The sequence below is a fragment of the Homo sapiens genome, chromosome 4, assembly GCF_000001405.40.
Source record: "Homo sapiens chromosome 4, GRCh38.p14 Primary Assembly".
NCBI lineage: Eukaryota > Metazoa > Chordata > Mammalia > Primates > Hominidae > Homo > Homo sapiens.
In genome coordinates, this window is record NC_000004.12 from 65,319,225 (window position 1) to 65,334,263 (window position 15,039).

Genomic DNA, 15,039 nt, shown 5'->3' on the forward strand with positions numbered 1-15,039 from the left:
TGGGCTGATGCTGATCAATAAAAGTCTCTTTTCTTTTTCCAGATAGTGTGCATAGTTTTCTGTTTTTTCCAAATAATATATTACACTGTCACAAATCAACTTCTAATTAGATTTTGACACAGTAATGCACCTGTGCTACAATTTTAGTGTTAATCTCCATATGCAAAAATTATTTAAATGCAGGCTCATGAATCTGTTTTAGAAGAAAATGGATGCTAATGGCCTGTAAAATATTTAGCATAAGAAGTTGAAACATTGTTATTAGAAGTAACTGAAAACATTACACAAAGGCTATAAGTTTAAACTTTCCAGAGAGGGTCAAGCATGACAATCAGATGTAACTGTATTCAAAGGGTTTTTATTTTCTGAAAAAATATAAAATTTCATATCTTACACTACAAAAAGCATGTACACAAACCAAATGCACATAAAGATTCAAATGAGAAAAAATACAGAAATCCTAATCCTTCTTTGAATTAACTGTGAGACAGGAACTTGAGATAGCCTGATGTATATCATAGAATAAGATATGCTATATAGCTGCTTCTGACATGTCTGAAACTAAGAGATTTTGGTAAAAATACTAACAAATGACTGAGTCTAAGTATTCTCAGGCTCTTATAAATGTAACTACTCACTTTTAAATAATTGACTGTAAAACTACAGCAGCCTAAAGAGTCATAGATATGTTGACCACTGAAACTTCTACTGTGAATACAGTTCCCAGCCTGAATAAACATGACATTTTACCACCTTCAATTTTCTCCATTAACGTTTAGAAGAAACAAACAACATTTGATTCTGATTATTATAAACAGACTTTTTTTCTTTTAAAAGAATTGGTATCTTCTTCTAAGCAATGATTATGTGGTCATTCTGAACAAGAACATTCAATCATTTATGTGTGAAAAGATTTCTTCATAAATGAATAAGAAATGAAAAGAAAGTTCCTATTTCTATTTTGATACATTACTATATAATTAACAGCACAATAGAGAAAATTATTCAATGTAAACAGCTGTGCTACAGAGTTGAAAAAATGATGACTTATTTTACTTATTAATGTCAAATAAAGCTAGCATTTTGATTCCATTTATTCTTCATCATCATCATCATCATCATCATCAGGATCATCATCATATTGTACCTACTTTTTGCTTAATTTGAAGTTAAACATCTGGCAGGACATTAGCAAAGACAGTTTACTATCACACTTCTTTTTTTTCTTATTTTTAGGAAAAACAAAATGAGAAAGGGACCTTATTCTACTATGTAATATAATACATCTAATAAATTTCTAACACCTGACTCAAATAGTGTTTGCCATCCAATGCACTTTTATAGCCAAAAATGTCTTCAGAAGGTAAATATCTGTGCTTGTGCTTCTGAGAACCCACTTTACATGGCATAAATAATGGTGTTAAAAATATTTTACTTTCACATACAGATTAAGTAGAAGACATGAAAACACATAAGTGCTCAAATGATATTAACTTTCCATTTTAAACTTGAAACATGAAACTGTGTCTTCACTTTTTTACACTGGTCAAAACTCTTTTACAAACTGAATTAAGGATATTCTGTGTTGTTTAGGCAACTCTGAAACCAATAATGCTGGCCACACTTAAGTTTAGATAAAATATTGGAATATAATTTTTACAGTAATCTTACAACCTTAGAATACTGACTTGGTAATTGAAACACAAGAAATAAAAGATCATGCACATTACAATTTTAAAACATAGGAAAATCAAAATCTTTACATCTTTACATAGAAATAGTACATTATGAAAAGAGCAACTGGTTATATTAATAGTATATATGAGCAAATGACAAGATTAGAAACAAATTATGATAGGTCAAAGTAGTAATTGAGTGACTTCAAGTATCAGTCTGTTGAAAATTACTCCCTGTACCAATTTTTCAAAGTCCAATACTGTGAAAGACTCATGCCCCTTAAGATATTGCTACTGGCAATTACAATAAGATTATGTATTATTTGCCAAATCTGTTGTATATACTAAAATTGTCATGTCTGTGCTTTATTTTTGGTAGTCTGGTGGGTGACAAAATGAATCAACAGAATAAGAAATTACACAATCAAGATTTGTTAAACTTTGCCTTGGATTATGGCCTCACTACATTTTACTAGAGTTGGCTCCTCTCCTTGTTCCATTTCTCACACTTGCAGATGAGATTGGCATTTTCCAATTGGTGACATATACAATAGGAAACAAATATTTTAGGAAGGCATTCTTTCCTCTTTTTTAGGGAGAGTACTTGTTGTTTGACAGTCTCTTTATTCATTCTAAAGTCATATTAACCTTCCTTAGAAATTCTCAACCAAATTGAGATGCAAAAGAAAACTATGTGGCTATTTAACTTTCCTTTCAATTTACTTTCCAAAATGATCACCAAGATTGCAAAGAAGGCAAATAAATTTGATCCAAATTAATTTATATTCTTCCTTTGTTAAAAAGAGAAAATCTATATTGCAACTTAAAGTTCTAGTCATTTAGATACACTCCACCCGGACCTCCTAATTATCTTTCAGCATATAAAGTTGGAAAACAATGTAGAAAATATCTTTGTTATGTCTAAGCAATTGTGGCAAGTTCATCAGCCCTAAAGCATATGGTAATTTTCCTTTTGAATCAATAAGGCTTTCATTCTGAAGTTTCTCAGTTGTTACTTTATCACTTAGATTGGAATATTTCTATAAAATTCAATAAAGTGCCACATAATCATCATTTATTTTGTACAAAAGTAATTTGTTTCATTAATTTCTGTTTATTGAAATGAACAAATGCATCTTTAATAATGGTGATGCTTTTTTATGATTTTATCAAGAAAATATTAAATTCACATCTCTGGAAATTTTACTAAACTAATAGATTATATGTTTGCAGCACAGTTTGTGTGGACCCATGGTATATAGCCCTTATTATTATGAGAACTGAATGTATTATTTGAAAACTGTTTAGATTTTTGTTGTGGTTATTTTGATGTTTCCTGGTTCTTTAGAAAAGAGGTACTTTACTGCTTAAGTAAAGGGTGGGCAGAATAGGAAGTAGTTATTTCCCAAAAGTTTATTCTTATATGTGCTAATATTCAAATAAAACAAGTGCTTGGAAAAAAGAATACCATTAATATAACGTGGCTATATTTCTGATAAATTTCATTAATCCAGGCTTCTCTGATCTACTGTACTATTAACATTGATAATCATGAGTAGGCTGTATTTTATTTAAATGCTCTGATTTTGACTAATCACATGACATTCCATAATTTTTATAAAGTGTAATAATACAAAAATGTTGGTTATCTCAGGAGCTCAGTTTTGGACAATTTCTAATACACTGCATAATTTGTATCACAAATATAAGTCTTCATCATGTGTGGTATATAGAGCATACATAGAAGATATGTTATATTCCTTAATAAGCCTAATTACATAATACCTTGGATTGGTTCAATAAAATAAACTCAAAGCCATGTAACTGAATACAAACTGAAATTAACAAATGAATAAACATCCATTAAAAATAAAACTTATCAATTATTGAAATAAAATTCTGAAGGGAAATAAGCATATATATATATTTGTGTGTGTGTATGTGTATATATATATATTTGTCATAATTCCATTGCTGCCTTAGAGTCAAAATTTCTAGAACTGAGTCAAAATGGGAATGGTTACAACGGATTAACACTTAAGGGTGATGCTTCGTGCTATGTGCCTGGATTTAACAACATTAACAGAAGCCTGCACAGTTAAATCCTTCTACATCCTGCTGAAAATGTGCCCTTCGGTGTCAACTTTGCTTGACAAGATACTTTTCAGGACTCAGAAAGGTGAAATTTCTTACAGGGGTACAAGATTAATGGCTAGAAGAACTGCATTGTCACTGATATCACAAAATGTTTTTAAAAAGCCAAAGGGGATTTAGTCTTATACACATTTCCTTTTAGTGAATAAAGAGATTAGCTTTTGGACACATGAGAGGAAAAGAGACACAAGCTTGTGTTAAATTTTGTTTTACTGCTTCCCTATTTCTCCTATTCATATTACATTCTGGAACACTTGCTCCTATATGTTGCTAAAATTGAAACACTATTAGAAATGCAAGCAGAATGGTAACACACACATGTGCAAGCAAACACACACACAATTCCATCTTAAATCAGTTCCTGGGTATATTGCAAATTATACAGTATATACACATTTATTACCTAATAATCTCTAGAAGAGCAACTAAAAGTAAACTTTATAACACAAAAAATAAATATACACCCTGTATTGTACTTTTTCTTGATCAAGCAACATGTTTACACACTAGTTTCTATAACTTAACGCTGTGTAACAGCATTTTAAAATTACAAAAGAAGATATCTATTAAGAAATAATCTAATCATATTGCTCTTCAATACACTTTTGTAGACAATTAAGACTTGAAGTAAACTTCAGTAAACTGTAGCTTTTGTTAGCTCACAAATGGCTATAAAACATTTCCTTTCAAGTAGATCCCTGGAAGTTTTGAAAGGGGTTGCCTTAATTCAGTCTATAAAAGTGCTATATAATTATATATTTCATGTACAAAATTTTGTAGAAGTAGTGGGAAGGATTCTGTTGTTGTAACTTAAGATGATGTCTAACTTCATGTCCCTTTTAATGCAAGATATGTTTGCTTCATGAAAAATGAAGACTAAGGACTAAGAACTGGATACTTCAGTAAAACCATGATTACAAATTCTGTGGCTGAGGCAAATGTTTTCTAAGGTTTAGAAATCACTGTTTTCCCTTTTCCCCCTTTTTTTGTTAAAATAAATCTCAGTGCTGTTTACAAAGTGCAGAATCATTCACTTGAAGAAGCGACATTTACATGAAGTTACAATGGCACCATTCCGTTTACCAGCTGCACCTTCATTTCTTGAAGGCTGTTCATGATCTTCTTCTGGTGACCGACAAGAGTCACTCCAAGCCGTCTCAAATCCCTGCATGAAGAAAGCACACATTGGATGTATTGATTCAATTTGTAGCACACCTCAATATTTCATGTTGGCAAAGGGGCAAACATAGTGCAGACACTAGTTAGATTACAGTCCTAATTTAGACATACAGAGTCTAGTTTTTAAAGGTTAGGCTCTAAAATTATACCTCCAAAATCTGTTAGTAGTCAAAAAATATTTATAATGAGGAATGATATAATACATATTTGCTCTCATTTGTGGACATCACTATTTTAGTGGTGCAGAGTGGTGATAAAACAAATTTGCACATTATTACCAATAAAGAGTTAACAGGTACAATTTCATTGAAAAGTTTTGAAACTGCAGATTTACAATATTCATAAGCACTTATTTTTGCTAAAAGAAGCTTGAAATAGACTTTTAATATTTTATAGCTAAGCAGTTGAAAACCAAAGTCATAAAATGACTCATTCTATACAGTAATTTTATATAACAGATATCTTTAGGAGATAATCACCACTACATTGCTTTTATAACAATGTTTTACTTTTTTTTTTTTTTTTTTACTTTATACTGAAAGTACCAGAATTTTTTTTTAATCAAATAACATCCAAGCTCTACTGGCACTTAGAGCATGCTGAATATTACATGCTTTCAGAACACTTTTCAATCAAGATACTTCTGTGCATTTTTTTCAACATGCTTATTATTCAAAATAAATTTACAAATATTTAGATTTCTAAACTAACAACATATTATGGAGCTCAAGACAAGTGGCCATGGTTTTTCAACGTTCTTTTACAGGATGTTTAGGAATGCTATTCCCCTAAAGTATGTATTTGTCAGATATGTTTGGCAAATGATAAGCATTAATTATAGGAAAAAATAAACATGAACAATTCAAAATCCTAAATGACAAAGATGTTTGCCATGTTAGATTTCTCAAGGTAATTACCTTATTGAACACATTATGTGAAAAGTGGAATCTTTTTCCATTCAGTGTGTGTTTTAATTCAAGATTTTCTTAGAGTTCTATTGAATTAATGACATTAGACATTAGAATAATCACAGGTAGAAACTGAATAGTTTTAATTGTTCTTTGAATTCAAAGAAACTCTTAATTATCAGAGAATAGAAATTAAAGGATGCTAAGGCTCTGTGTATATTCGTATTGGAAATATTTTTTTCCAAAATAGTATTTTAGTTTTCTTTTCCCTTTATGGTTTCTTGATTTCTTATGACAGTTTTAGGAAATGGCAAGCAGCTACCCCCCCAAAAAAATGCTATTGATATTTGTGATGGAAACATATTTGTTTTTTAGAATGTGAATATTAAACAGTAAGCTTAAAAATTACTACAACTAAAAGGCACCAGATTGGAATATAAAAATAATAATAGCGGTAGAGAGAGCATGGAAGACAATCCTCAGGGAAACTTAAAATTAGTAAAATTAGCTTTGAAACAAAATCATTATTATTAATAATGGAATAGACTACAAGCTAGCTAATTACAGACCAAACGAGGAATATAAGAGACATGAGTCTAATCTTGTCTCTTTTCAACTAAACCAGAGTTTCTCAGCCTTGAACCTGTTAACATTATAGGCTGGATAATTCTTTGGCTGGATAATTCTTTGTTGTAGAGGTGCTGTCTTATGCATCGTAGAATATTCGGCTGCATCCTTGGCCTCTGCCCACTATATACCAGAAGCACTGCAGCACCACCAGCCCTTCATTTTTACAAGATAAATTGTCATTGTCAATTTCCCCTTAGTGACAAAATCTCTCCTGGTTGAGAATCATTGAGATATATATATCTCATATATATATATATCTCATATATATATGTATATATATGTATATATATATTCACACATATAAATTGGTGACACTTTATAAACATATTTACACACCAATTTAGACACATATAAATTGGTGACATTTAATAGACATACATCCTGTATGCTAGAAATATCAATAACCCTATGATACAGATTTTTAAATTTCCTTTTATGGATGAGGAAACAAAGGCTTAGATAATTTGAATTACTTAGCTATAAAACACAGCCAAATGGGTAACCAAGTTAGGGCTAATATCAGGTACCTGAAAACCAAGTCTATACTTTTAATTTATCATTATTCTAAGAGATGATTTTAAGTAAAGCACTTCAAATTATATGCAGTAATTTATTCATCTATAAAATGAGAATCCTGTAAATGTAATTTAAAATGTCCAAAATTCTAAAAGAAAATGTCTAATGAAGGGAATGAAACACATACTTTGCCTGAGGCTATGGTCACCAAATCTGACCATAGTAGTTTCTGTTATGCACTAATATTCTCGTGTTTCCACATGTAAATTATTAATTATAAAGAATTATGTAGATGTGCATATTCATGGGTGTTCACTAGCAAACTGGATCACAGCCAAGAGAAAAAGGATGAAAATTTTTCCTAAACTGAAAACTGTCTCTGCTGGATAATTTAATTAGGACTAGAAACAAAGTTTTAAAACATGTGTTTTATCATATGTTTTATAAACCCATAAGAAATACTGATGAATCCAGATTGGGAAATATGGTTGTAATAATATATATGCTTAAATTGCATAATTCATGATTGCTATGTGAATTATTAGGAATTATTAGGAATGAGCCTTTGAAAATAACCATTATTATTTATTTTGAATGACCTGAAAGAATTTATAAGTTCTCTTTCAAACATGGAATTTATACAATCACAAAACTTAAATTTGAAGCATGTATGGGTTCCATATTCCAAATCTTGGTTTTGTCTAAAGGATATCAAATCACTAATAACTTATTTTTATTTCTACTGTCTTAACTTGTTATATTAGAGAAAAATATAATTTAATCTTCTAGATATGACTTGAGAACATGAAAGACTCTAGCTCCCTCAATGTTTCGGTAGTTTAAATTTTTCATGATAACTATATCATACTAAAGAATTGTGAGAAATTTTATTTGATTAATAAATGTGGGTATTGTTTGAGTTTATTGAAAAATGAAATCTGTACTTTGTCAGAACATTTCATACTTACAGATTTTAAGTTAAATTTGTTTGAATTTTAACAGTGAACTAGGGATAAAATTTTATTTCAAGAACAATTTATTATCTGATTATCCCTTGAGATGAATGTCAAAGGGCACACCAGTGAAATTATCTTTCTCCTCTTCCTTTTACTTCTCTCTTGCCTTTCCATCTCATCCTAAACCCATCTCCCCAGCGGAGAAATGGAATTACAGAAACAAAACACTGAATTTTAAGTACTGCCACAAATGATGTTTTCTCCCATGAAATTCTGTTGTTTTTCTTTAAATCTGACCTATCATTTCAAAAACTGTCAAATTAAGGTGAAGAGATTTAGAAGATAGGATAACTATAATAATGCATGCAACGTACATGTACCTTTATACATGTGATTTTCAGTGAAAACATGGATAAATAAGATGATTTATGCAAGTTAAAATTGTTCTCAGCAACTAAGTAGTTTCTTTTGAAATGCATCTTAATATTTTTTAATAACACTACAGATGAGAATTAACACAGTATTAGAAAATGTTTATAGTAAAGGTTAAATAACTGTTCAAATATTACTAAACATTTTAAGGTATTTTCTTCTAAGTAGTTTAGTCTCACATTTCTTATTTCCAATAATTCCCATTTTACTACCTAAACCACATATTAAATGGTCATCTTAGCAGTAATTACATAAATTTGATGAAAATAAAATATAAGAATGATATTGCTGCCCTATGTACAATAATTTTTGAAAAATAATTTGGAAATGGTACAAGGTATGCATTTTTTAATTTCATTTTTCTAAGTAGAAAATTTTATAGCTACACAATGTCTTAAGTATGTTCCCATTATAAGTATGACACAAATTTTATCATGATCATGCATAATCTTAAGTAATACCGAAGGTCAATTCTAGTGATAACGAATTATATTTTGATATAGGCCTATGAATCTAAACATGACGAGACTAGCATTGTTACATAAACATAGTTTGGATTTTGTTGACAAAATTGACTACTTTTAGAAAAGCTTCAAATGTTATGAACTGTCATTGTTGGGTTTACATTTCAGTATTTTTTCAAACATTATTCAATAATATTAAACAATGGAAAAACACTGATATTAATGATGCTAAAATGGCAGAATGAAAATAGAGTAATAAAAAGTATATAGTTGATGTTGGAACCAACTCTTAATTATTCAGGCTTAAATTAATCTATCTACAGATGATTCATTCTCTTCCTCATTCTTCTCCCTTCTACTTTACACACCTTTTAGCCGTATCACTGGTACTTAGCCCCAACCAACATTGGCTGGATAGGAGAAGGGAGAAGACAGATTAATGAATATTCCCCAAACTTCAATATTTATTGCTTTTGTCAGAGTTTTATCATGCAGTTGTATGTTTGTCATTTTTTTTTTTGTTAACTTTGCAGAACCCTAACAATCAATGATATAGACATTGTACAGGATAAATGTATTACTTTTGGCAAGAAGAGATTTAACCATGGTCTGTTAATGGTTCTCAATGGAAGAGATGTTGTCAGGGCTAGAACACAGAGGACTGTAGGTACTCCTATGTGTACTTTAAGGGTATAATAAATCATGCATAATGATTTATTGATAAGTTAATAAATCTATTTCAATTAATCTGTAAAGATTTTGCCTCTGGATTTTGAAAACTTTCATTTTATTAGTTTAAGATTCTATTCCAGTAACTGATGATAACAGGAACCTCTTCAGCTGACACACAATTGGTATAATATTTAAATTGATTGGATTTTGCTCATTTTCTGAATAACCAAAGGCTGACAGTACTGATACGAAAATAAGTTTAAAAAGTAGCTGTGATTCTGTCCTTAACTGAAATGTTTGGATTCAATTTTCAACTCACCTCAAGCTCACAATTATCCCTGTTGACAATAACCCACTGCACTTATACAAGATGAGATAGTTTGCACCATTACTGCCACAATTGTTTTCATATAAATACTGAACACAGAATAGAAAGGTTTAGGCACAAACAGTAGCAGACAAACACATCTAAGATTGAAAGCCACTTTCATGAATATGCTTTGACTCTCAGACCTCTAAGTTCTTCATTACCTTTCAATATTTAGCTATACATGCACGTACTGGCAACAATCCATATACAAGTGAAGTTAAACCTTTGTGATGGAGATTTTTAACCAAAATATGTCATTCTGAAAATTTTATATTTATTCTTTTTTTCTAAACCCACTATGAAAACAAATTTGATGCCACAAATTACAATGTAGTTTTTAAATATGGCAGTTGGACTATTCGCTTTATATTAATTGATTTTCACATTTTTCCTAAGTATTTACAACAGTTATGAATGTATTCTTCCATTCTCAGCTTCTACTATCTTCTGACAATAACTCTAAGAATTATATTTTATTATTTTATTATACAGCCTTCATAAAATTAATACTTAGGTATGGGGTAAAGACTATGCGTGAAAAATCAGTATCAAGGTATTTTGAGAGCTGGCCTATTTCTTTTGCTGATAATCCCGTCTCCTTTGCCATTAGTCCTTAGCAATGACTGACTTTTTTTTTTTTTTTTGGAAGAAGAGTAGGCAAAATGAACAGATGAACTTTTAAAAAAATTTTTTTGACCAAGAAAGTAACTGATTACTTGAGTTACTTAACATAATGTTTTGATAAATGTTCTTACAGTTGAAAAAAATGTAGTCGAAAGCACAGAAAACAAAGTGGCATGTAGTTAAATTTAAAGGGCCTGGAGTTGCCCCAAAAACCAGCTTTCTTGGAGTTATGATCTGCTGGCCCAATTACTGGTAAGAAATGTATTAATGATTATGACCCCCAGGAATTTGGAGCAGTTACTATAGACAGACCAATACTTTCTGAATGGGAAAATGCTGGTAAGTCTCCCAATGTAACTTTACTCTTCTGGTCAGAGTAAATGAATTAAAAGACAAATGTTTGAATAAAGGCAATCTAGCAAGAGGCCATAAGCTGGAGAAGAATCATTATGAGAAGACATAAGAGGTTATTAGGGCTTGAAAGAAAACAAAAACTAAAGAGCATTTGGGGATAGAGGAGCAGATAGGAAAGAAATAGAAAAAAAAGGAATAAGAAAAATGTGAAACTATAATGCTAAAATATTCAACATATTTATAGTATTTTGGGACCCCAAAGATATAAGTAAAACACAAGTAGCTAATGCAAAAACTATAATTTGTAATTATAACTATTTTTTGAAGGAAGAAGCAAAAATGTAGTAGATGTAACTATATACAGAAAATGTGCTATTTTAATAACAAAAGAGACATTGTTTAATGCAAATAATTTTATTATATATTTACAAGTAATCTGACATTGGGTAGAAGAAATACCTACAATATCATTTTAATATAAAATGACAAATGACTTTAATAAATTAAAATGACCATTTTTACTGAAAAATTAAATAGCAATCATGTAAAAATAGTTTTAAATTATCAGTAAATTTTTCAGTATACCAGTTTAAATATAGCACAAATGGGTTCCTTGAGTGTCCAAAGAAATAATGGACAAAGCATATGTGTTATCAAGTAGATATGATCTGGTGGACCGTGAGAATGAGATTCAGTAAATTTAGAAAGCAAGCTGAGTGGTTGGTTTCAGGTCCTTTTAGTTATCGGTATGAAGGAAGAGAATGCTGAGAATGTGACATTAATTGGTGATAAATGGTGGTACCCTGTTACCTTCTGTGGGGAGGAACAATGAATTCAATGAATCAAAGAATGTCAGAATAATAGAGATGGGTGAGCAAGAACTGCTCAATGTTCATATCATGTGTACAAATAAAATAACAACTATGGTTTAGTGCTTCAGAATATTCTACCATTTTCTAAACCTTACAATATTTTAACCTTTGAATTGGCAGGTAATTTGAAGTAAGTTATCATTATATTCACAGGTTAAAACATTAATGTTAATGTAATCTAGATGGAACCACCATAAAGACAGTTAATTTTCACAAATAACAATTAGGCTAAAACAACCACATGTACAGAGTATATAATAAAATACAAACAACTTACAACCTTAAAGAACTTAATATTTAACTCTAGTGATTTTTATTTAATAAGGTTTGATAAATTTTATCTTAAACGTGCAAACAGAAAAGGGCACAATTGGTTCCACTGAGATTGTACCAAATAACAAATCAGAGGCGGGATCTGATACATCCTTAGATTGAAAGAATGTAAGGTGCACCATTTAGAAATTAAATGAGATCCTGCCAGGGAAGCTTTGTTTAAGCTACTGTTACCTTGATATTCATCGTAGAGAGCCAAAATGTACAAATATGTTTGGTCCTTATGTAGGACTAGCCACACCAATTGTGCTTACAGTTTATTTTGTTTTGTATTTACATTCATATAACATAGATACCAGTATAAAAAAACTTGTCAAGAAAACATCTTTTCCACAACACAAAACACCAGTATTTTGCCAAGGAGCTGTTATTCCAATTATTCAAGTATGCCAATGTTATTTGTTTGAAGCAAAGAAGCAAAGATACTGGCCACATGTAGCATTAACCATGCAGTTGTTAACAATACAGGCTAAAGATGATGAGGCTTCTTTGAGAGCTGCCACACATCCGCAAAGGTTAACTGATTTCCCTTACCTCATCCAGATTGGTTTTTGAACAATTTTTCTTGCCCCAGCAATTATGTAAAAATTATCAGAAAAATTACTCACTCCAAGGTCACCTGAGCCACAGCGTCCATTGAACTGTATCCATTTTCCATGAAAATCTCTGTATACCGGCCCATCTTGATTGCCTCTAGCCATTCACCTACTGATCTGTAGGCCCCAGATCCTAGTGGGCTATGTTCTGCCAATAAATTAGATACTCTAAAACACATAAAACATAAATATTAAAAGTTACAATTTAATTCTTTTATAACAAAGTTTACTATAATGTTAACTCATATTCAATGGATCTTTGAGTCTGTAAGTATATTTATAGAGGAAAAATATGCAAATGCTAATATGGAAGAAAATAATTTAAAATACAGGAGAACACAAAATCAGTCTACTGAGATTATTTTATCCATAATTAATGAGGACTTAACATGAAGACTTACTAATAAGTAAATTTTATGTAAAACAAAACAATAGCTAAAAATTTTATTGAGTACTAATAGATGAACACAGAATTTTTAGGACAATAAAACCACTCTGTATAATAGTATAATGGTGGACACATTTGTCCAAATCTGTAAAATGTACACAACCAACAGTGAACTCTAATGTAAACTATGGGCCGTGGCTGATAGAAATACAGGTTCATCAACGGTAATAAATGTGTCATTCTGGCGGTTGATGCTGGTAATGGGGTGGTGGGGGGTGGGGGAAGGCTACATATGTGTAGGGTAAGGAGTACTTGGGAGATCTCTGCACCTTCCACTCAATTTTGCTGTAAACATAATATTTCTCTAAAAATCAGTCTACTAAAATTTGTCATGTAGTGATTTAGATATACTACTCTTTGTTTATGAAGGTAAGAAAAATGCTACCCACTATAGCTATGTGGGATAATTTGTGCAAAGCCAATCGATTTTTCCTAGAGGAACTTATCGACTTCCTAGAGGAACTTATGCTCATTTAAGTAAATTTATCTGGAAGTTAAGAAACTATTTATTCTTTATTTTACACTTTTACATAGAGTGTTTCTTAATACACCGAGGAGTGGTAGATCATGAAAAACAAAATGTAACCCCAAATACAAAACAAAACTTAATAGAATCAACTAAATCAATAGACACTTTTAATGACACTACGTTCATATTCTTTGGACAATAATAATAATGATATAATGATGATGATGACTTTTAGAAATGTATCTTAAGGGAATAATCAGAAAAAAATGGCAAAAGGAAACTAAATATTAAAAATAATTTACATGCCCATTATGTAAATTTACATAATTTACATGTGAAATTTACTTAAGTAAATTGCAACTATAAGAAAAAGGACACAAATACCTTTCTCTCTACTCAGGTTCTCTCTACTTTCTCACATTCCATTTACCCTTGAGTATAGTTTCTTCAAAACCAATTTTATAAAAATTACTCTAGTTGAGATGGTCAATGATCTCTCTTTTGCCAAAATCTGTGAGCACTTTTCAAACTACAAAATGACTGACCTCTTGGAAACATTCAGCCAACACCACTACCACCTCCCACCTTACTCTTGAAATCTTACTCTGTCTGAACATTGTTTAAATCACAATTGTGTGCGTGTGCGTGTGAGAGTGTGTGTCTGTGTGTGTGTGTGTGTGTGTGTGTGTGTGTGTGTGTGTGCTGGATTCCCCTCAATCTCCTTTGCCTGCTAGTCTTTTTTTTTTTTTTTTTTTTCCTGACTTTAAAACTCTAAGGGAGCCAGGACTTGGCCCTATATTTTTCTATTTAGGCTATAACTCCACTATAGACAATTTTACTCATTTTCATATCTTTAAAAAGTATCTACTTTTTAAAAATTTTTGTTTCCAGACTAAGATTCTTCTATATCCATATGCCTATTTTGTACCTCCATATTTCTCAGAGAAATACGGCCCCAGGTCCAAGACCACACTCCTCATCTCCACATCCGTGTGCTCTTGAAGTTCTGCCCATTATATAGTATGATGCAACAGTCCACCTCTTCCCTGTCCTCATTTTTCTCAAAACCTATCATTGTGCATACCATCTATTCAACTTCCAATATATTGTACAGCCGACCACTTCTCTCCCATTCAATATTAATACCACCTTATTTCAAGATATCATCATGTCTCGCCTGCACAATCTAACCTTCTAGTATTCATCTTGAATTCAACTCTCACTCCCCACTCCAAAACCAAACACACAATTGGTTTTGAAGTTTTTATTTTGTTCAGTGTCTCTCTCCCAACAGTGCATTGGCTTCATAAAGGCAAATACTTAGGTCTATTTGCTTAATGCTGTATCCTCAGCACCTAGCCCACAGCATGACCCAGAGTATAAAGG

General features: G+C 31.0%; 1 protein-coding gene across 13 annotated transcripts in view; it reads right to left on the reverse strand.

Annotated features, from left to right (window-relative positions):
- Positions 1-342: 342 nt before the first annotated feature.
- The window catches only part of EPHA5 (EPH receptor A5), a 350,923-nt gene continuing 336,226 nt past the window's right edge, over positions 343-15,039 (reverse strand). For 11 of the 13 annotated variants that reach the window (NM_001437320.1, NM_001437321.1, NM_001437313.1 and 8 more), the window contains 2 exons: positions 12,749-12,904; positions 343-4,995 (listed from right to left, as the gene is read on the reverse strand). In NM_001437320.1, the coding sequence (NP_001424249.1) occupies positions 4,890-4,995; positions 12,749-12,904 (262 nt within the window). In that variant the 3' untranslated portion in view covers positions 343-4,889. Of the gene's footprint in view, positions 4,996-11,333; positions 12,905-15,039 lie in introns of those variants that run through there. The other 2 variants (XM_017007881.3, NM_001281767.3) reach the window with 1 other exon arrangement.